Here is an 18,948-nt window from a genome sequence, read left to right on the forward strand (position 1 = left end):
CACTTGAACCTTGGAGGTGGAGGTTGCAGTGAGCCAAGATCACGCCACTGCACTCCAGCGTGGGTAACAGAGTGAGACTCCGTCTCAAAAAAATAAAATAAGGAAAAAAAAAAGCAAAACAAACAAACAAAAAAAAAAAAGAAAAAATGAGACACGTAGAAAACAAACAGCAAGACGATAAACATAATCTAACCATATAGATAATTACATTAAGTATAAATGGTCCAGATAGTCTGGTAAAAACAGAGATTAACTTTGTGCTATCTATGGAAGCCCACTTTAAATATAGAGGCACAGACGGTTTAAAATTAAAAGGACAGTAGCTGGGCATGGTGATTCACACCTGTATTCCTAGCACTTTGGGAGGCTGAAGTGAGAAGATCACTTGAGCCCAGGAGTTTGAGACCAGCCTGGGCAACATGGCAAAACCACATATCTACAAAAAATACAAAAAATTAGCTGGACATGGTGGCACACACCTGTAGTCCCAGAGAGTGAGGAGGCTGAGGTGGGAGGATCACCTGAGCCTAGGAGGTTGAGGCTTCAGTGAGCAATGATCACACCACTGCACTCCAGCCTGGGTGACAGAGTGAGACCCTGTCTCATTTATTTATAATTAAAAAAAAGGATAGAAAAAGATAAGACATCACAAACACTTATCAAAAAAGTGCAGTGGCTATATTAATATTAAACAAAGTAGACTTCAGGGCAAGAAATATTACCAAGGATAATGAGGGACATTTTCTAATGATGAAAAGATCAATTAATCAGAAGATTTTAAGTATATATATATATACCCAGTAACAGCGCTTCCAAATATATGAATTGCAATTAGACAAAAATAAAGAAAAAAGAAAAAAATGAATAAAAAGTAACAAAAATGAAAGGAGAAATGGAAATATTCACAATTATGGTTGGAGATATGAACACTGCGTTCTTAGTAATTGGTAAAACAGACAGATAATCAGTAAGAATAAAGAAGGCTAGAACATTATCTACCCACTGATCTAATTGATAGGTAGAGTGTTAACACCCAGTGACAACAGAACACACATTCTTTTCAAGTGCATGTGGAACATTGAACAAGATAAAACACATTCTGGGCCATAAAACAAATCTCAATAAAATGAAAAGAACTGAAATTACACTGAGTAGGTTCTCTGTTTAAAAATAAAATTAAATTAGAAATCAACGACAAAAACATAACTGGAAAATTCACAAATATTTGGAAATGAAATGACATTGTTCTAAACAACTCATAGGTCAAAGAAGGGAAATTATATTTTGGAGTGAAGGAAAATGAAAACAAAACAAATTAGAATTGGTGGTATGGGCTGAGCGCAGTGGCTCATGCCTGTAATCTCAGCACTTTGGGAGGCCAAGGTGGGTGGATCACTTGAGGCCAGGAGTTCGAGACCAGACCACCCAACACAGTAAACCATGTCTCTACTAAAAATACAAAAATTAGCTGGGTGTGGTGGCCCGTGCCTGTAATCCCAGCTACTAGGGAGGCTGAGGCATGAGAATTGTTTGAACCCAGGAGGTGGAGGTTGCAGTGAGCCAAGATCATGCCACTGGACTCCAGCCTGGACGACAGAGAGAGACTCTGTCTAAAACAAAACAAAACAAAACAAAATGTAAAAAAACAACAACCGCCCCCCTCCCCCCACAGAATTGGTTGTATGAAGCTAAAGCAGTACTTCCAAATAAATTTTAGCATTAAATGTTTTTATTAGAGAAAAAAAGGTCTAAAAAAAAATCAATGATCTAATCTTCCACCTTAAAACAAAAACTAGAAAAAAAGCAATTGAACACAAAATAAGTAGATGTAGAAACAATTAAGAATGTAAGGAAATGAGAGTGAAAATAAATGAAATAGAACACAGAAAAATAATAGAGAAAGTAAATAAAACCAAAAGCTGTTCTTTGAAAAAAAAAAAAAAAAAAGGCAATAATAAACCTCTCACCAGGCTAACAGAGAAAGAGAGAGAAGAGAAGAGAGAGAAATTGCCAGCATTACGAATGAAAGAATGAAAGAGGGGACATTATTATAGATCCTATAGATATTTAAAAAACAAAGGAATATTATGAACAACTTTATGTTTAACGGGTGAATTCTAGTATACATTAGAATGGAATAATACCAATTCTATACAAACTCACTTAAAAAATAGAGGAGAAACATCGCCCAACTTGTTTTAGGAGATTAGCATTATCTTGGTACCACAAACAAAACTGAAGACCAACATGTCTCATGAATAGAGGTAACAGATTAAAACCAATGGTAATACTTTGGCAAATTAAAACCAATAATATTTGAAAAAGAAAATATATCATGACCTAGTGGGGTTTATCCCAGGAATGGAAGGTAGACTTAACATTTGAAACAGAAAATCATCAACATCTAAAGATCAGTTAACTACTTACATATATTTCACCTAGTTTTTATATAGTTCTATTTTGTACATTTAAAATTTTAAATAATCTGAAATTAATTTTGGTATATGGGGCTAGGGTAAGAATATAAATTATTGCCAAAGTGTTATTTTTTACAATATCATTTGGTGAGTGAATAACTTGATATTTCTCCATTAATTTCTCATGTTTCCTTTGTCTTTTAAGTAACTAATTTACATGTTGTGTCAGTACTTCTGCCAGTATTATAGTTGTATAGTGTTTAATAATAGTAGTTTTAAAATATATTTTTTATCTGGCAAAGCAAAGGATGTCCCATACTTTTGTGAACATTTTCCCCAGTTCTTTCTTAAAATTAAATATATTTAATAACAGGTAATATATATACTTAGTTTTAAACTCAAATTATAGAATACGGTATACATATTTAATAAATGTTACTAGTTTCTTGTATATCCATCCATAGATATTTTATACATAAACTAGTAAATATGATTTTTCCTGTTTTTAAAATGTATATATACAAATGGTAGCAAACTATGCATGGTCTTATGTATGTTGCTTTTTCACTTAACTTTATATCTTAGAGCTCATTCCATTTTAATATATAAAAAGCTTCCTCGTTCTTTTTTACAACTGCATAGTATACCAATGAATGAATACCGCAATTTATTGAACAGTTTTCTGTTGATGTTTATTTAGGTCATTTCCATTTTCTTACGTCATAACAATAAATAAAAAATAATTTTGTACATATATTTTTAACATAGATACAGGAATATCTGTCAGATTAATTCCTAAACAGGAACTGCTAGTCTAAAAGGCAAGTGCATTTATAATTTTTAAATATTGCCAAATTGCTCTCCATAGAGGCTGTACCAATATATAATACTGTGAAACAATAAGAAATACATATATGTATATACTGGTCTCTGACCCTGGTTCCTGACATGGAGCTCCTAAAACCCTTGTAATTTCTGAAGTGAAAGGGTACTAGGAGCATCTTTGTTCTAATAAAATGACTCTCGGTGGGCTCTTAGATGGGGGCTGTTCTCGAGGAAGACCAAGCCATGATTAGAAGCTTGGAACTTCTGGAGATTGAGTTAATAATGAATCATGCCTACATGATGAAGCCTCCATAAAAGTCCCTGAAGTACAGGGTTTGGAGAACTTCTGGGTGGGTGAACACATCCGCGTGATGGGAGGGTGGTGCACCCCAACTCCACAGGGACAGAAGTTCCTATGCCTGTTCTGCTTTCGGACCTTGCCCTATGTACCTCTTCCTCTGGCTGTCCATCTGTATCCTTATCATATCCTTTATTATATAATAAACTGGTAAACGTAAGTGTTTCCATGAGTTCTATGAGTCATCGTAGCAAATTATCAAACTTGGGGAGGGGGTTGTGACAGCCCTCAATTTGGTAACCTGGGGATCTACTCCTTGTACTTGGTGTCTGAAGTTGGGGGCAGTCCTGTGGCACTGAGCCCTTAACCTGTGGGGTCTGCCGTAACTCAGGAAAGTTAGTGTCAGAATTGAGTTAAATTATAGGATACCCAGTTGGTGCCTACAGAGAATTGGAGAATTGGTTGGTATGGGAAAAGCTCATACACATTTAGTGGCCAGAAACATTATGAGAGTATAGAGAAGAAACGTTTTTTTCCCCCTATGCAAAATACCATCAGCAACGTTTGAGGGTGCCTGTTTACCCAAACTCTTATCAACATTGTTTTCAAACTTTTTGACCATAACATTCTAGGTGGTAAACAGCTTATATTGCCTATTGTTTTATTCACATTACTTTTATTATTGATTTTTAAGTTCTTGTTTACTATTATTTTATTTCTGGAAGTTGTCTTGGAATTTTAAAATATAGCTTTTATAACTAAGGTATAGCACTGATAAGAAATGATAATTTTGTCTTCTTGCCACATCTAGTTTTTGTTTTATTCCTTCATTTATTGCATTGACCTTAACTTCTAGAACAATATTAAGTAATAATAATAACATTGATCTTTTTGTTTGGTTACTGATTTTAATGAAACAATCTGTAGTATTTCAATTTTAAGTAAGATATTGCCACCATTCATTATGTTAAGGGATTTTTCTGCTCTCCCTAAAAATTTGAAAGTTAAAAAAAACCCACCAGAAATGGATGTGGAACTTTATCAAGTGCTTTTCAGAATATAGGTTTGGGTGATTTATTTTCTTAAGGATGAACTGTATAATTTTAATACATTTCCTAATGTCAAACCATCCTTACGTTGTTAAACCCTCCTTGACTATCATGGATGATTTTTTGATGTGCTTTAATTAAATTTGCTAATTTTTTTCCAGATGTTTTTCTGTCCCCATTCAAAAGTGAGACTGGTCTTTGTGTGTGTGTGTGTGTGTGTGTGTGTGTGTGTGTGTGTGTGTGTGTGTGTGTGTGTATGTGCTGTTCTTGACAGGTTTTGTTATCAGGGTTATGATAACCTCATAAAATGAACTGGGCAGCTTTTCTTCTTTGCTTTTTTGCCCAAATTCTTCTCTGCTCTCCTGGCCTGGGGAGAACAAGGCTGGCCTGTGTTCAGACCTGCTCCAGGACCTCTGGTGACCTCCAGCATGTTCCCAGCTCTCTTCTTGACTCTTAGTGGTGTTGTCTCTGGCATCTCTCTGCTTCTCCTCCGGTCTGGCTTCCCAATGTGATCCCCTAACATCTATGGCTCAACCTGAACTGGCCTCTGTGTGAACTCAAGGGAGGGGATTTCCTTGGCAGATGGAGGTTCTCCATGTGCCCCCCATCCCCCCACTTCCTCCAAGAGCTCTCCCAGCTGTGATCTTTAGCTCCTCCTTGCGCTTCTGCCTCTAGCTCTCTGCTGCCCTCTAGCCACAACATCTGTCCTTGTCGTGGCTTTCCGCAGGCAGAGGCATTGAGAATGGAACTCTGTTCAACAGATCCAGTTGAACTCTGTTCAACAGATGTCTCGAAGCCCTTGGAAGTTCTCCAAAGTGACTGGTTTGAAGGGGGTGCTGCAATGAGGCAATGGGTTGTTTTGGCTGCCTCTGAAGAAAAGGGGTGCCAGAATAGACCCAAAGCCTGGACTCTGCCCTCAGTGGGGAACATGAATTACATTGCTGCCAAAGGACAACTCTGAGAAGGCCTGGTGCCGCTGGGCAGGGCAGCTCTGCAAAGTCCGGAGTAGGGAAGGGATCATATTCAGTATGGACCTTTGCTCAGCATGCTTCTTTCCTGTCCTTCCCTGCTAACTGAGACAACATGTATGTCCAGCCTTTCTGTTCAGCTGTCAACTGTGAATGACACCCGATAGTGACTCTTGAGCTATGCTTGGAATTGTCTGGCTTTAGGCTGACACCTTCCTTGCCATCCCCCTGATGCCATCTAAGGCCACGGCCATGGAGAGGGACTTTTGTAAGTATGCTGTTCATCACCATTTAATATCATCTAGTGGTTCTAGAATCAGGCAGATTTGGGTTTGAATTCTGTGCATGCCACTTACTAGCTCTGTGATTTTAGGCAAGTAACTCAGCATCTCTGAGCCAAGTTTTCTCGTCTTTAAAACAGAAAAATAATAGATATACTTGTTAAGCTGGTGTGAGATAACAATGCATATAAAGCACTTGGCCTAATGCTCAACCTAGTAAATATTCTATAGATGTTAGTTGATATGGTTTTGCTGTGTCCCCACCCAAATCTCATCTTGAATTGTAGTTTCCATAATCCCCACGTGTCGTGGGAGGAACCTGGTGGGAGGTACTTGAATCATGGGGGCAGGTTTTTTCTGTGCTATTCTCGTGATAGTGAATAAGTCTCATGAGATCTGATGGTTTTATGAAGAGCAGTTCCCCTGCACACGCTCTCTTGCCTGCCGCCATGTAAGATGTGACTTTGTTCCTCCTTCACCTTCTGCCGTGATTGTGAGGGGCCTTCCCTGCCATGTGGAACTGTGAGTCCATTAAATCTCTTTTTCTTTTAAATTACCCAGTCTCAGGTACTTCTTCATAGCAGTATGAAAATGGACTAATTGGTTAAGATTATTCTTTATCCTGATTGTTCTGTATCTCTCTTGAGAATCAGTGTAACCTCTTCACTGATATTCAAGGCTCTCTTGAGGTTGGGGTCAGTTTATGAGCTGTCTTTCCAGTCTTATCTCCACTACTCTGTTACACATACTATATTAGTCAGCTAAATTTTCATCTCTTTGCCTTTGTATATGCTGTTCTCTCTGCACTCAGAGTAACCTCCTCAGCATCCTTGACTGAGAATCTTCCCAACTGTCGAGGCCCAAGTTAAAATATGACCTACCCCATGAAGAGTTCCTGGCTGCCCCTTGAGAGGTTTTTCTCTGCCTCCTGTAGCAGCACAGCCATTGTAACTATTTTCAGTCAAGAACTGGATGAGATTGTCCCCTGAGAATGAATTTAATGTCAAAGTTTGTCCTAAGTTTTTGTGGACATCCCCCCAACCTCACCCCAATAGTTGATTTCTGAGTGCCTGAACCTGAGAGGTGCTATTGGCTCCAGCATTTCTTTTATTTTTATTTTATTTTCTTGAGACTGAGTCTTGCTCTGTTGCCCAGGCTGGAGTGCAGTGGCATGATCTCTGCTCACTGCAACCTCTGCTTCCTGGGTTCAAGTGATTCTCCTGTTTCAGCCTCCTGAGTAGCTGGGATTACAGGCACATGCCACCATGCCCAGCTAATTTTTGTATTTTTAGTAGAGATGGGGTTTCACCATGTTGGCCAGGCTGGTCTCGAACTCCTGACCTCAGGTGATTCACCCGCCTTGGCCTCTGAAAATGTTGGGATTATAGGTGTGAGCCAGCACGCCCTGCCAGCTCCAGCATTTCTATGTTGGAGGGGTTAGGAGGCATTGCAGTGGAAGGGGAAGCTAGAAGTCTTGTATGGAAAACACACTGATTTCACTTACATTGTATACTTTTTAGGGATGGCTTAGGGGATGGGGGTAAGAGGTTGGGGTCAGGTGGCATTGGCCCTGCTGATGAACCATGGATATTCCTAATCTGTGAGTGAGCCAATGGAGTCCTTAAGAATGGCCGATAACTAAATCAGCTCTAACCTAAGCAGTTGTTGGATGTGAGACTATGAACAAAAGTGTGAGGTCACATGGAGTCTGCAGAGAGACAAGCCAGGCCGCTACCATGCGTTGCCTTATAGCCACCTCCAGATCTTTCTCTGAAAAGCCTGCTAGGGAGATGAGATATTTGGCCTGGTTGGGTAGGCTGGGCCAGCTAGTATGGGTGAAAACTTGAGATTCTTAGGAGTTGAGCTTCTGGTCAAAAGAGAGAGAATGGGTTTAGGCAAGAAAGGGCTTTACTTCTCCAGGGACCTCTCAGGTTGATGGGAGCTTGGCCCAGCTCTATCTACCAAGAACCACGGTCAGGTGGTCAGATTAGGGCTAGAGGTATACCCATCTCTGGGAAGTGAGTTGAGGGCTGCCCCCACGGATCCCATGACTTGGGCCTTACTTTGAAACCTGTGACCTGGTGTCTGGGCATCCTCCCGCTGGATCAATGGGCTGGGTGAGGGAGGAAAACAGTGTAAGGTGAGGGTCAGGGAATGACCCAGGCCTGAAACAGAGTCCCCAAGAGATGCTTGCTCCTTTGGCCTGTTGTGTGAGGCAGCAAAGGATGAGCTGAGCCCAAGGTGGGGGCAGGGTCACAGGCAGAGGACCTTCTAGAGCACAGCTCTGGAAAAGCCTCGTTTGCGAGACTCCAGTCTAGTCCCCAGTACCCAGCCCTAGTCCCTTCCCTACCTTTCTCTCTGAGAAGTTTATTCTTCTCTTAGACCTGGAGGAGTCATGAGTGCTTTTGCCAAATATTTCGTTTTCCCCTCTTCCAGGAACATGATAGGATTGCACTTTTTGGCTCCTTGGTGACCCTTTGTGGCCAAAGGGTTGTGAATGGAAGAGGTGTGAATCATTTCTGGGCCAGAGCATTTCATTGCCAGTACAAGACCCTCCAGAGTGCTCTTTCCACCCACATGCAGGTGATATTCAAATGATGGCTGCTTTATCAGCCTGGGCTCCCAGGTGAGATGCGGAGTGAACTCCCAACCATGGACAGGTAGCACAAGAGGGAAATGCACCTCTGCTGTTATAAAGTACTGACCTCTGTCAGTCTACCCCCCTGAGGATCGAGGTCTTCTGTCTATTTTCAGTTTTACTGTCCTACAGTATTGCTTTTTTCTCTTTTTTTTTTTCCTTCAAAGCTCTGTGCCCTTTGATTTACTTCCGTCCTCTTATTTTCTGCTCTTTCTTTTCCAGGTTCTTGTCTTTTACACACATATCCTTGGGTGCCAGTGCTACTTTGCCATTGCTTAGTTCTATCCTCAGGGCCTCTAAACTCCCCTCTTTGACTGTGAAGAAAGATGGGCTCCTTTCAGGCAAGATTGTAGAGGCTGGAGCTGGAGAGGGCAGAGGGCATGTGGTGGCAGCTACCAATGCAGCTCCCAGTGATCTCCACCTCCTGGTATTCACACTTTTGGGTAGTCCCCTCCCACCTGGTACTAGTGTAAGTCTGTGTGATCAGTAGACTATGGCAAAGTGATGGTATGTGACTTCCAAAGTTAGGTTATAAATGATTGTAGTTTCTGTCTCAGTCACCCTGTCTTGGATAATTTGCTCTGGAGAAGCCATGTCATAAGCTATGGAGAGGCCCATGTGGCAAAGAACTAAAGCCTCCTGCCAATTGAGCTTCAGATGCCTGCAGCCCTGGCAACCCTGGGAGAGGCCCTGAACTAGAAACATCCTGCTAAGCCACTCCCAGGTTCCTGACCTCATAACAAAAGCTACAAAGTGTGGAATCATTAATTAAGCAGCAATAAATAACTAATACGGGGCAGGTATTTGGGAGATTGTGTTTGGAATGTCAAAGCCCAGTAGAATAACAATTCCAGATCTCTGCTTAGTATAGGTTGTGTCCCTTGATCTGGGACAGATTTGGCCACCATGGCTGGTGACCTGAAGGGTCAGGTTTCCCATAAGTCTTTGTGTATGGTTGCTGAGGGCACTCAACCCAGGGGAGTAGGGGGTAGGAAATACTAATACAGATTGTTTTCTATCCCTTAGAAATCTCTCTTGATCCAGTCTCAAAAGACTCACTCAAGCCTGTCTTGTGCTAAACAGGGAGTTCTAAGTAAAAACTCAAGCCATTTTACAAATAATGCAAAACATCGATGTACCATCCACAGTTCTTTAGGATACTTTTTCTGGGTGTGACACACAGGGAGAGAGCCTACATGACACCGAGAAGGTTCCACACATCTCTGGTGGTGCTGAGTGCAAAGAGCAGTATCTGAAACTAGGACCCTGTGGGGCAGTAGATGCCCCAGAGAGAGATTTGCTCATGGGCAAAGAGAACTCCTGTGAGACACATTCCACAAAAGTGAAAGCCTAAGTTATTAAAGGAGAACATTAGTTGGTGAAATTAGATCTCTTATTGTTAAAGAATCTTCACTCATGCTTGCAGGCTTGCAGGGATTGGGAAAATTTGGGGTCCAATAATAACAAGAAATATTATTTATCTACTTATTAAGCACTTACCATGGGGGTAGGGAGATTGGGAGATGTTGCTCAAAGGAATAAGATTAGACAGAGAGAACAAATTCAATAGATCTATTGAACAACCATGTGACTGTAGTTAATGATGATGTATCATATACTTGAAAATTGCTAAGAGTAGATTTTAAATGTTCTCACGAGAAAAAAATGATAAGTATGAGACTTCAAAAAGTTCATGGAAAAATGGAACTAAAAAATTAAAATACAAAATATAAACTTGATTTCTCACTATAAGCTCCATCAAGATCAAGACCCTGTTGTAATTGATGACAGCACGATTTAGTCCATTTCTGAAGAACCGAGGGGTCCTGGGAACTTAGCCATGTCAATTCAGTCTTTTTTACATTATTAGCTGAAGAAAATGGGTGCCTTTTAAAGACTTTTTAAGAGTAGGAAACAAACAAGAAGTCAGAAAGAGCCAAATCAGGATGCTTAATGATTTCCCACCAAAACACTGTCAAAATTGCCCTTGTTTGATGAGAGGAATGAGTAGGAGCATTGTCGTGGTGGAGAAGGACTCTATGGTGAAGATTTCCCGGACATTTTTCTACTAAAGTTTTGACTAACTTTCTCAAAACACTTTCATACTTAGCAGATGTTATCATTCTTTGGCCCTCCAGAATGTCAACAAGCAAAATGCCCTGAGCAGCCCAAAAAATTGTTGCCACGACCTTTGCTTTTGACCTGTCCACTTTTGCTGTGAGTAGACCACTGCCACCCCTTGGTAGCCATTGCTTTGATTGTGCTTTGTCTTTAGGATCATACTGGTAAAGCCACCCCCTCATCTCCCGTTACGATTCTTCAAAGAAATGCTTCAGGGCCTTGATCCTACTTATTTAAACTTTCAATGGAAAGCTCTGCTCTTGTCTGTAGCTGATCTGGGTGCAATGGTTTTGGCATCTATTGAGCGGAAAGTTTGCTCAACTTTAATTTTTCAGCCAGAATTGTGTAAGCAGAACCAATTGAGATGTCTATGGTGTTAGTTATTTTTTTGTGCTGGTAATTGTCAGTCCTCTTCAATTAGGGCACAAATGGGATGATTTTTTTCCTCACAAGTTGATGTGGATGGTCGGTCACTGCAGGCTTCATCTTCAACATTGTCTCATCCTTTCTTAAAATGAGGTATCTGTTTGCAAACTGCTGATTTCTTTGGGGCTTTGTCCCTATAAACTTTTGTAAAGCATCAGTGATTTTATCATTCTTCCACCCAAGCTTCACCATAAATCTGATGTTTGTTCTTCAATTTTAGTAGAATTCATGTTGGTCTGATAGAGGCTCTTTTCAAACTCATGTCTTATCCTCCTTAGTGCCTCAAACTAGATTCTGTTCAACATATTATAACAAGTTAGTATGAGTTTATGTTGGTGCAGAAAAAATTTTAAATCCATGCATAGTTTTCTCATAAGACACATTTTTCATAAACTTTGTGAAGTCTCTTTGTATGTGAGATAATGGTTATGTTAATTTTTAGTCATTCCACAATGTAGTCATTATCAAACATCATGTTGTGCATGTTGCACAAATATATACACTTTCATTTGTCAATTAAATAGAAGTTCAAAGAGTGGACATATTATGAAGTATAGTATACTGCAAGATAGAAATGAATTTGAAAAATTAAACTTGGGGGAAAAAGCACTTACCATGTGACTATTTTAAACTATTTACTACTTGAAAACAAACAGTTCATGAACATCATCTTTTTCAAGCTTTGAAATAATCTATAAGGTGGATATTATTCCCATTTTTCAGATGAGGAACCTGACATTACATAACTTGCTTCTTTCAAGTGCCTCCTCCAAAGGGCAAAGCTGGGGCCACACAGGTGGGTGCCTACCACCCTTAAAGGCACAGTCGTCTGGTGTCCCCATCTGACGCAAACAGTCCAACTCTTGTGTTGTGAACACAAGTAGATCCACTCCTTTTTGAGACCGATTCCCTGGAAGGGAGCCCATGCCACTGCCTGGCCCAAGACTCTTGGCTGCAGGAAGCTGACCTGCTTTTATCCATGGAGTCAGCAAAATGTGAAGATAATTTATAATAGCCATTAGCAGAGTGCATTTGAGGTCAAGTATGAACCTCCTGCACTTCAGCTCTACACAGATCTGTGCAGGAGCAAAGAGGAGTCAAATTTCTGGAAGCAATCTAACCATAACAAATGAAGACTGTGTTGCTTCAAGGCTTTTAGGTAAGTGCTAAAGGGGAGATGGAGAACAACAGTGTGAACATACTTAACACTACTGAACTGTACACTTAAGAATGGTTAAGATAGTAAATTTTCCATTGTGCGTGTGTTTTTTTGCCACAATTAAAAATAAAAATAAAAAAGGAGATGGTCTCCTTTTTTATTTTTATTTTTAATTGTGGCAAAAGTGATGATCTATAGCCTGCACAGATATAGATCAGATCTATTACTGATAATTCTCCATATTTATCAGTTGGTAAATGGGACCTGTAAAGGAAGTGTGGGTCTGTGTGGGATATAGATCATCAAGATAGAGAAGTGGGGGAGCAGATGCACAGTCAGATCAGGCAGAGGTAGACCATAAAAGGCCGTCACAGAAACTCTACCTGTAGCCAGTTTCATTCTGGTGAGGAGGATTGGCAGTTAACCTCAGGCCCCTAGGCCATGACTGTACTTTATTCAAAGTCACTGTATATGTGTATACATGTATACACACACACACACATATGTGTATATATGCCTATATATACACACATATCTGTATATATGTGTATGTACATGTATATACATAGACCTATATGTACATGCATACAAATGCATATACATGTATATACACATATATGCATGCATGTGTATGTATATGTATGTTTATGCATGCATGCATGTTTATCTATATGTATGTATAATTCACAAACCATATTACATGGTTAATGTCATAGGGGGATTTAGGTCTTTCAAACGATCCTTTTGTCATCTTTACAAAGTCCTGAATCACAGAAGCTTTTGTTCAGGAGGGAGGTCTGAATGAATGGACCTGCTGGCATTGTAGTCATCATTCCTGGGCTGAGTGTATGTCCCAGATGAGCTGTCTCCTGTGCCTATCTGTTTGGGCTACATGTTAGACCAGAAGCAGCACACAGAAAGCCAGCAAGGCAGAAACAGCACCATGATTCTGATTGTCTAATGGGAAGATCCAGCCTCTCTTCTCTTGACCAGACTTAGCTGCAGGCTCCCTGGGAGATAGGACCCTGACACATCTCTCAGAGAGAAGCCCTGCCAGTGACAAGGTAAGCGACAAGTCTGGGAACAAGTTTGGAAATCTTGGCTTCTTTTGAAATGAATGAGGCCTTGGATGCTGGGAGTGGGGCAGTGGGGAGGGAAGCTGTGGCTCTTGTTTTTTGCTCATGGAGAAATGGAAGGCCTTTAGAGAAACAGGTATTGACTTAGAGGTATAAAACTGGAGTGGCAACTGATTCCCAGAACTTTAGAGCTCTCTCCTCTTTTTCAAGGTTCTGGGATGGTATGTAAGTGTATCCCTTCTGCCTAGCCAGCTTTCCTATCTCTAGACCGGAGAGGACCCTCTCTCTGACCTTTGACCCTGCCATACCTAGCACAGGACTTAAAAGTGGCTCCTGTTGCATCCCATGGCGAGTGCAGACAGCCCTATCCTATACCCTTTTCATTCCTCTTAGCTTGGTATACAACAGTCTTTTCCCCTAGTTTATAATCTGTGAGGGCTGACACTATGTCTTGTTCATCCTGGGAGCTTGCATAGCTTCTCTTTCCCTCCCCTTCTCCACGTGCCTTGCATACAATAGAGGATCCCAGCAACATTTGTTAAAAAACCCATCCCCGGATGCTCCTCTAGACAGTACTATCTTCTCCTTTTTGCCCTATAAACCAACTGCTGTGGCTTTAAAACTTTGCATTGTTGGCCAAGGGTTCTGAAACTGCAGTTTGTCTTAATCTGTGGTCTCTGGATTCTTGCTTGATTGCTCTCTTTCTGGAAATCTCCCAGATAGATCACAGCCAGTCATATCCGCACTGCACCTCTCCCCAGGATAGTCAGCATGAGGGCAGAGGTAGAAGGGCCTTGAGAGAGCATCCAGGAAGCCCTTGTATTACAGATGGGAAAGCAAAACCCCTGAGAAGAGAAGGGATTTGCCTGAGGTTATGGTTTTGAGTCAGGGCCAGAAATCAGCTTTTCTGTCTCCCAGAGCCCCCAGGGCTCCTAACGCTGGCCTGGTCTTCTTCTTTACACTGGCTGAGTTCTAAAAAGGCATTTTTTCTGGCCCTCACTTTTCAAGTATCGCATCCAGAGAGGCAGGTTGGTAGCTCAGCCAGCCAAAGGGTGTCTGCTCCAGGGGAGATCAAGTGTTGAGAACCTGAGAAAAGAGACCTGGTCCAAAGGAGTGGAGACAACAGCCAATGGCCCTCTTGATATTCTCTCCATGCAATGACTTCTACTGTGAAATTGTCGTTTGACAACAAACCTTGTAAATGAATAGCGTCTCGCTGTAACTCACCCTGAACACGAACTTGGTTAAGTGTTCGTGGCCATCGGAATTCCCTGCCCACTCCATCTAATTGTCTTCTGGCAGGAGGACTGTTTTTTTTTTTTTTTGTGTGGCCTTGTGGTAATGTTTTTCTCATCAGCGGAGGCTGACTCCTGCCTGAGCCCTGACCAAGGCCACTGGCCACATGCCGTAGTGAGAACTGGAGAAGAAGATAATAATGCAGCTTTTCAAAGCCCTTTCCCAAGCACTGCTTACTTGATCCTCAGTGAAGCCCTGGGTGACAGGCAGGGAAGTCCTTATTAGTCCCTAGCTTATGGAAAACACGACGGCCCAGAGAGAATGAGTGATTAACCCAAGGGCACATGGCTTGGTGAGTTATTGAGGTCAAGGAAACAGTCTTCAAATTCCACCTCTGCTACTTACTGTGACTATTTGAGGTTTATAACTCACTAGTATGGGACCTTGAATGTTACTTAATCACTCTGCCTCAGTTTCCTCACTTTTAAATTAAGAATATAGTACATCCTTCATTGAGATGTTGGGAGATTAAATAAGCCAATATATGTAAAGCAGTTAAGCCTGTGCCTGGCAGGCAGTGAGTGGCAATATTAGAAATTGTTGCTATTATTATTGTTATTATTTTTGGCGAAGAAGTCTCACTTTTTCGCCCAGGCCAGAGTGCAGTGTCGCGATCTGGGCTCACTGCAACCTCCGCCTCCCGGGTTCAAGCAACTCTCTTGCTTCAGCCTCCCGAGTAGCTGGGACTACAGGCGCATGCCGCCACACCCGGCTAATTTTTGTATTTTTAGTAGAGACAGGGTTTCACTATGTCGGCCAGGCTTGTCTCGAATTCCTGACCTCGGCCTTCCAAAGTGCTGGGATTACAGGCCTGAGCCACAAGGCCCAGCCAATTGTTGCTATTATTATCAAGTCTGTCTCTGTTGTGTGACAGGAAAAGCTTCCCCAGAGCTCATATAAAGATCCCTCCAGGGGATCTCTAAGAAGATAGATTTCAAAACTCATAGCATTACAAAAGCCTCAGTGATCATCTAGTTTGTCCGCTTATTTGATTTTATTATTATTTTTCTGATCTGACCTTTGAAGATAATCACACAATTATTAGATGCATAGTCATTAGGTGCATAAGGTCAGTGGTCCACATAAATCATTGACATTATTATTATAATTATGTAGCCAAATACAATTTTTAATATTTCTATTTTTGATATTATTTGGAATCTATAAATATAGACATCCATGTTATCACATTTCTCCATAACATGCACCATTTCATCTTGATCACATGCACTGACAATGACTCATATTAAGAGGTAAAAATAGAAAAAAAAGAACAGTACTACTCATAATATTTGGGAAGTGGGGGAAGGGAGGAAGGGGAAGTGTAAGAATGGTAATTTCCTTATCTTTTATAGCAGCCAGTCAATTGATATTGCCTAAAATTGAAGCATGTAAAAAAGTTTATTCCAGTCTCTGAATATTTTTCATAACATATTTTCTTAACCTTAGAGGTACAACATCCTTGAGAAATACTGTCTCCTTTGGGCCAGGTGCAATGGCTCACGTCTGTAATCCCAGCTCTTTGGGATGCCAAGGCAGGCAGATTGCTTGAGCTCACTAGTTTGAGACCAGCCTGGACAACATGGCAAAACCCAGTCTCTACCAAAAATACAAAAATTAGCCAGGTGTGGTGGCACGTGTCTGTGGTCCCCGCTACTTGGGAGGCTGAGGTGGGAGGATTGTTGGAGCCGGGGAAGTCAAGGCTGCAGTGAGCTGCAATTGCACCACAGCACACCAGGCTGGGTGGCAGAATGAGATCCTGTCCCAAAAAATAAAAATAAAAATATCTTTTGTGGAGAATACACCAAGTTAAGCAATTCCATTAGCTTTATTAACATCTTTGTCTTCTCTTAAATTCAAGGAAAATTAAATTTTATACCTTTTATTAAATAGCATGTAAAGTGTGATCTCTTTCTAAACCACTTTTTGTAGTCAACTATCCATACATCCATTCACTCTCCCTTCTTAGTTACCTATCCATCCTTCTCTCTGTACACATAAGGAGAGTGACATCTGCAACAATGTTCACTTGTGTCAGCCATGGTTATTTGGTGGTGGTGGGATATTGAAGATTTTTAAATATTTTCTTTGTGTTCTACAATATTGTTTGAATTTTTTATAATAAGTATGTATCATGTTTATAAAAATAAATTATTATCTTAAAAAAACAGAGGGAGACAGTGCTCCTGGATTTCCCCCCAACAATTGGGGATTTCCTTGCTTTTCCCACTCTCCCTCACCCTATATACTCCAGGACCAAGGCTTTCAGGTTCTTCTGATACCCTAATACCCATGATTGTTCCAGAGGATTTTGCTTCCAGAGCTCGGGGGTCCTTAGTGCTGGGGAACTTGAGTGGTGGAAATTCTTTGCAAGGAGGCTGTGGATACCCTGGCATGGAAACATACAACTGAGGAGAGGAGGAAAGATGGCCAGAGGACAGTGAGACAGCAAAAGGGTTGCGAGTCCAGGCATTTCTCATCTTACGTAGGAGGAGAGCAAGCCTAGGGCGGAAGAGTGGCTTGTTTAGAGTCAGCAGCCTGCCACACACAGCAAAGGCAATCAGTTGTCCCCTCAAAGGCATTCAGTATTTTTCCCCAAGCCCTGTGATTAAGGAAAGGTGGTAGGGCTTCAGGCCCTTATTCTCAGTACAGAAAGGGGGAAGGAAGGCAATGTTAGGGCATAGGAGGGGGATTGGGACTGCAACCTCCCCCTCTTCAGCAGCTAGTCTTGTTTTTCCTATTGGATCTGCCAGAATTAGCATCTGTAGGGACTTCAAGACCTCCCTGGAGGCATCTATAGCATCCATCACACAGAATGTTTAGAATCAGAGTAAAGGAGTCCTGACAGATATTGTGTCTGGATTTCAGCGAAGTGGAGAAGATTCAGAAAGCTCTGGGGGCCAATTCTTGTCTTTCCCACTCCAACTTGGGGGCATGGCCTATGTTTCCATAAACCCTCCAATATTTTACTTTTTTTTTTTTTTTTTTCTGGGGAATGTGGTGGTGGTAGGAGTGTGGAGTGGACTCTTTCACAACTCTTGAGGACGGTCCCCATATAAATTCCAGGAAATTGTCAGCACCTCCCTAGTGGACAGCTCCCCATCAGCCACCAGAATCTCCCCATCTCAATGGGGCCCCTGGGCCACTGGTGTTCTGGGAACACTGGCTTGTCTTTCTCTTGTTCTTCTTTCTTTCTTAAAAAATTCACTTTGGTTTAAGGAGCTCCAATTTAAGAGATTTCATTATTTAAGATACCCAATGTATATAAAGGAATGAGTTGGTCCAAATAAAGGACCTTTGGCTAAATATAAGAGCCTGAGTAATTGAATTAGAAACAGCTCAAGGATGGGTGTGTATCACAGCTCAGGAATCTTTTATAACAAGATTTTCAGAACCAAACCAACATCAAGAACACATCGTCTTACAAAAATTGTTTTGGGCTATTTCCCAGTATTAATGCAATATGGGAGAGGTTAGTTGGACAGAGAAATCTTAGAATTCCATGGATATTTTAATAGTTTAAGGCTAAAGTTCAGCATATTTGGAATCTGAATTGTCCCAGAAAATCCAGAGTTATGCTTCTCTTGCTCATAACCAGCAGTCTAGAATGACTCAGGTAGAAGAGAGAAGTCTAACAGGAAATGGAGATCCTGGCATTGTGAATGCCCTGGGAACTAAAGTACTAGAGGGTGCACAGATTTTCCTCTAGTAAAAGGAGGAAGCATAAAAAAGGGAGCATAAAGGTTTGAAAAATTGTGAAGCCATCTGTTATTGCTTCCCTTAACAGAAGTGGAACACTGCCACCAGAGCCTGTAAGAAGGTATGTGGCCAGGTCAGGTGCTGGCAGGTGAGGCTGGTTGACTTCCATTAGGCTCTTTATGAATCAGCTTTTAGGGTGGAAAGTCTCCTTGGCCCAGAGCCTGGTTCTCATCTTGGTAGGCTTGGAAACACATGTTTATCAACACTGAGAGTGGCTCTATCTCACTCAGAATAGGGTTTCATTGTCTGAGCTTGCAAGTGCTTACTGTGTAAACTACTTGCTAAACATTTGTTGGCGATGAGAAGCAAAACCACTTGGGGACTGGGCATTTGCTGCCTCTTGTCAGCATCCCCTCTTTTTTAATGGAAAGCCATCTGGGAAACCAGGTCATCCTCAGAAGATTGCTTGGTGAGCTTGGAATCAGATTTAGGGGTGATCGTTTCATGATGGTGCAACCTGTTGATGGCAACAGGTTCTAATCAGCTGTTACCCCCATGCCTGGGATGGGGGAAGGACTTCCTTTGAAGCTGGGTAGGTTAAGGCCTTGGGTCAGGAGACTGCCCCTCTTTGTTTGGGTTCCTCCAGAAGCAGGCCCTGAAACAAGGATTTGAGTGCAAATGGTTTAATTGGAAAG

General features: G+C 41.4%; 1 long non-coding RNA gene across 1 annotated transcript in view, besides 1 other annotated feature; it reads left to right on the forward strand.

The window, feature by feature from the left end:
- CAND1.11 (uncharacterized LOC100130460) overlaps nt 1-18,948 on the forward strand; it is a 122,361-nt gene that overhangs the window by 53,250 nt on the left and 50,163 nt on the right. The gene's annotated exons all lie outside the window — the stretch shown is intronic.
- Nucleotides 5,000-5,499: an enhancer, noted in NCBI's record as "OCT4-NANOG-H3K27ac hESC enhancer chr11:10388109-10388608 (GRCh37/hg19 assembly coordinates)". NCBI's record gives its function as "activates a minimal SCP1, AML or CMV promoter by ChIP-STARR-seq in primed H9 embryonic stem cells {active_cell/tissue: H9 hESC(primed)}" and the evidence as "EXISTENCE:reporter gene assay evidence [ECO:0000049][PMID:30033119]".

This window comes from Homo sapiens, chromosome 11, assembly GCF_000001405.40.
Source record: "Homo sapiens chromosome 11, GRCh38.p14 Primary Assembly".
NCBI lineage: Eukaryota > Metazoa > Chordata > Mammalia > Primates > Hominidae > Homo > Homo sapiens.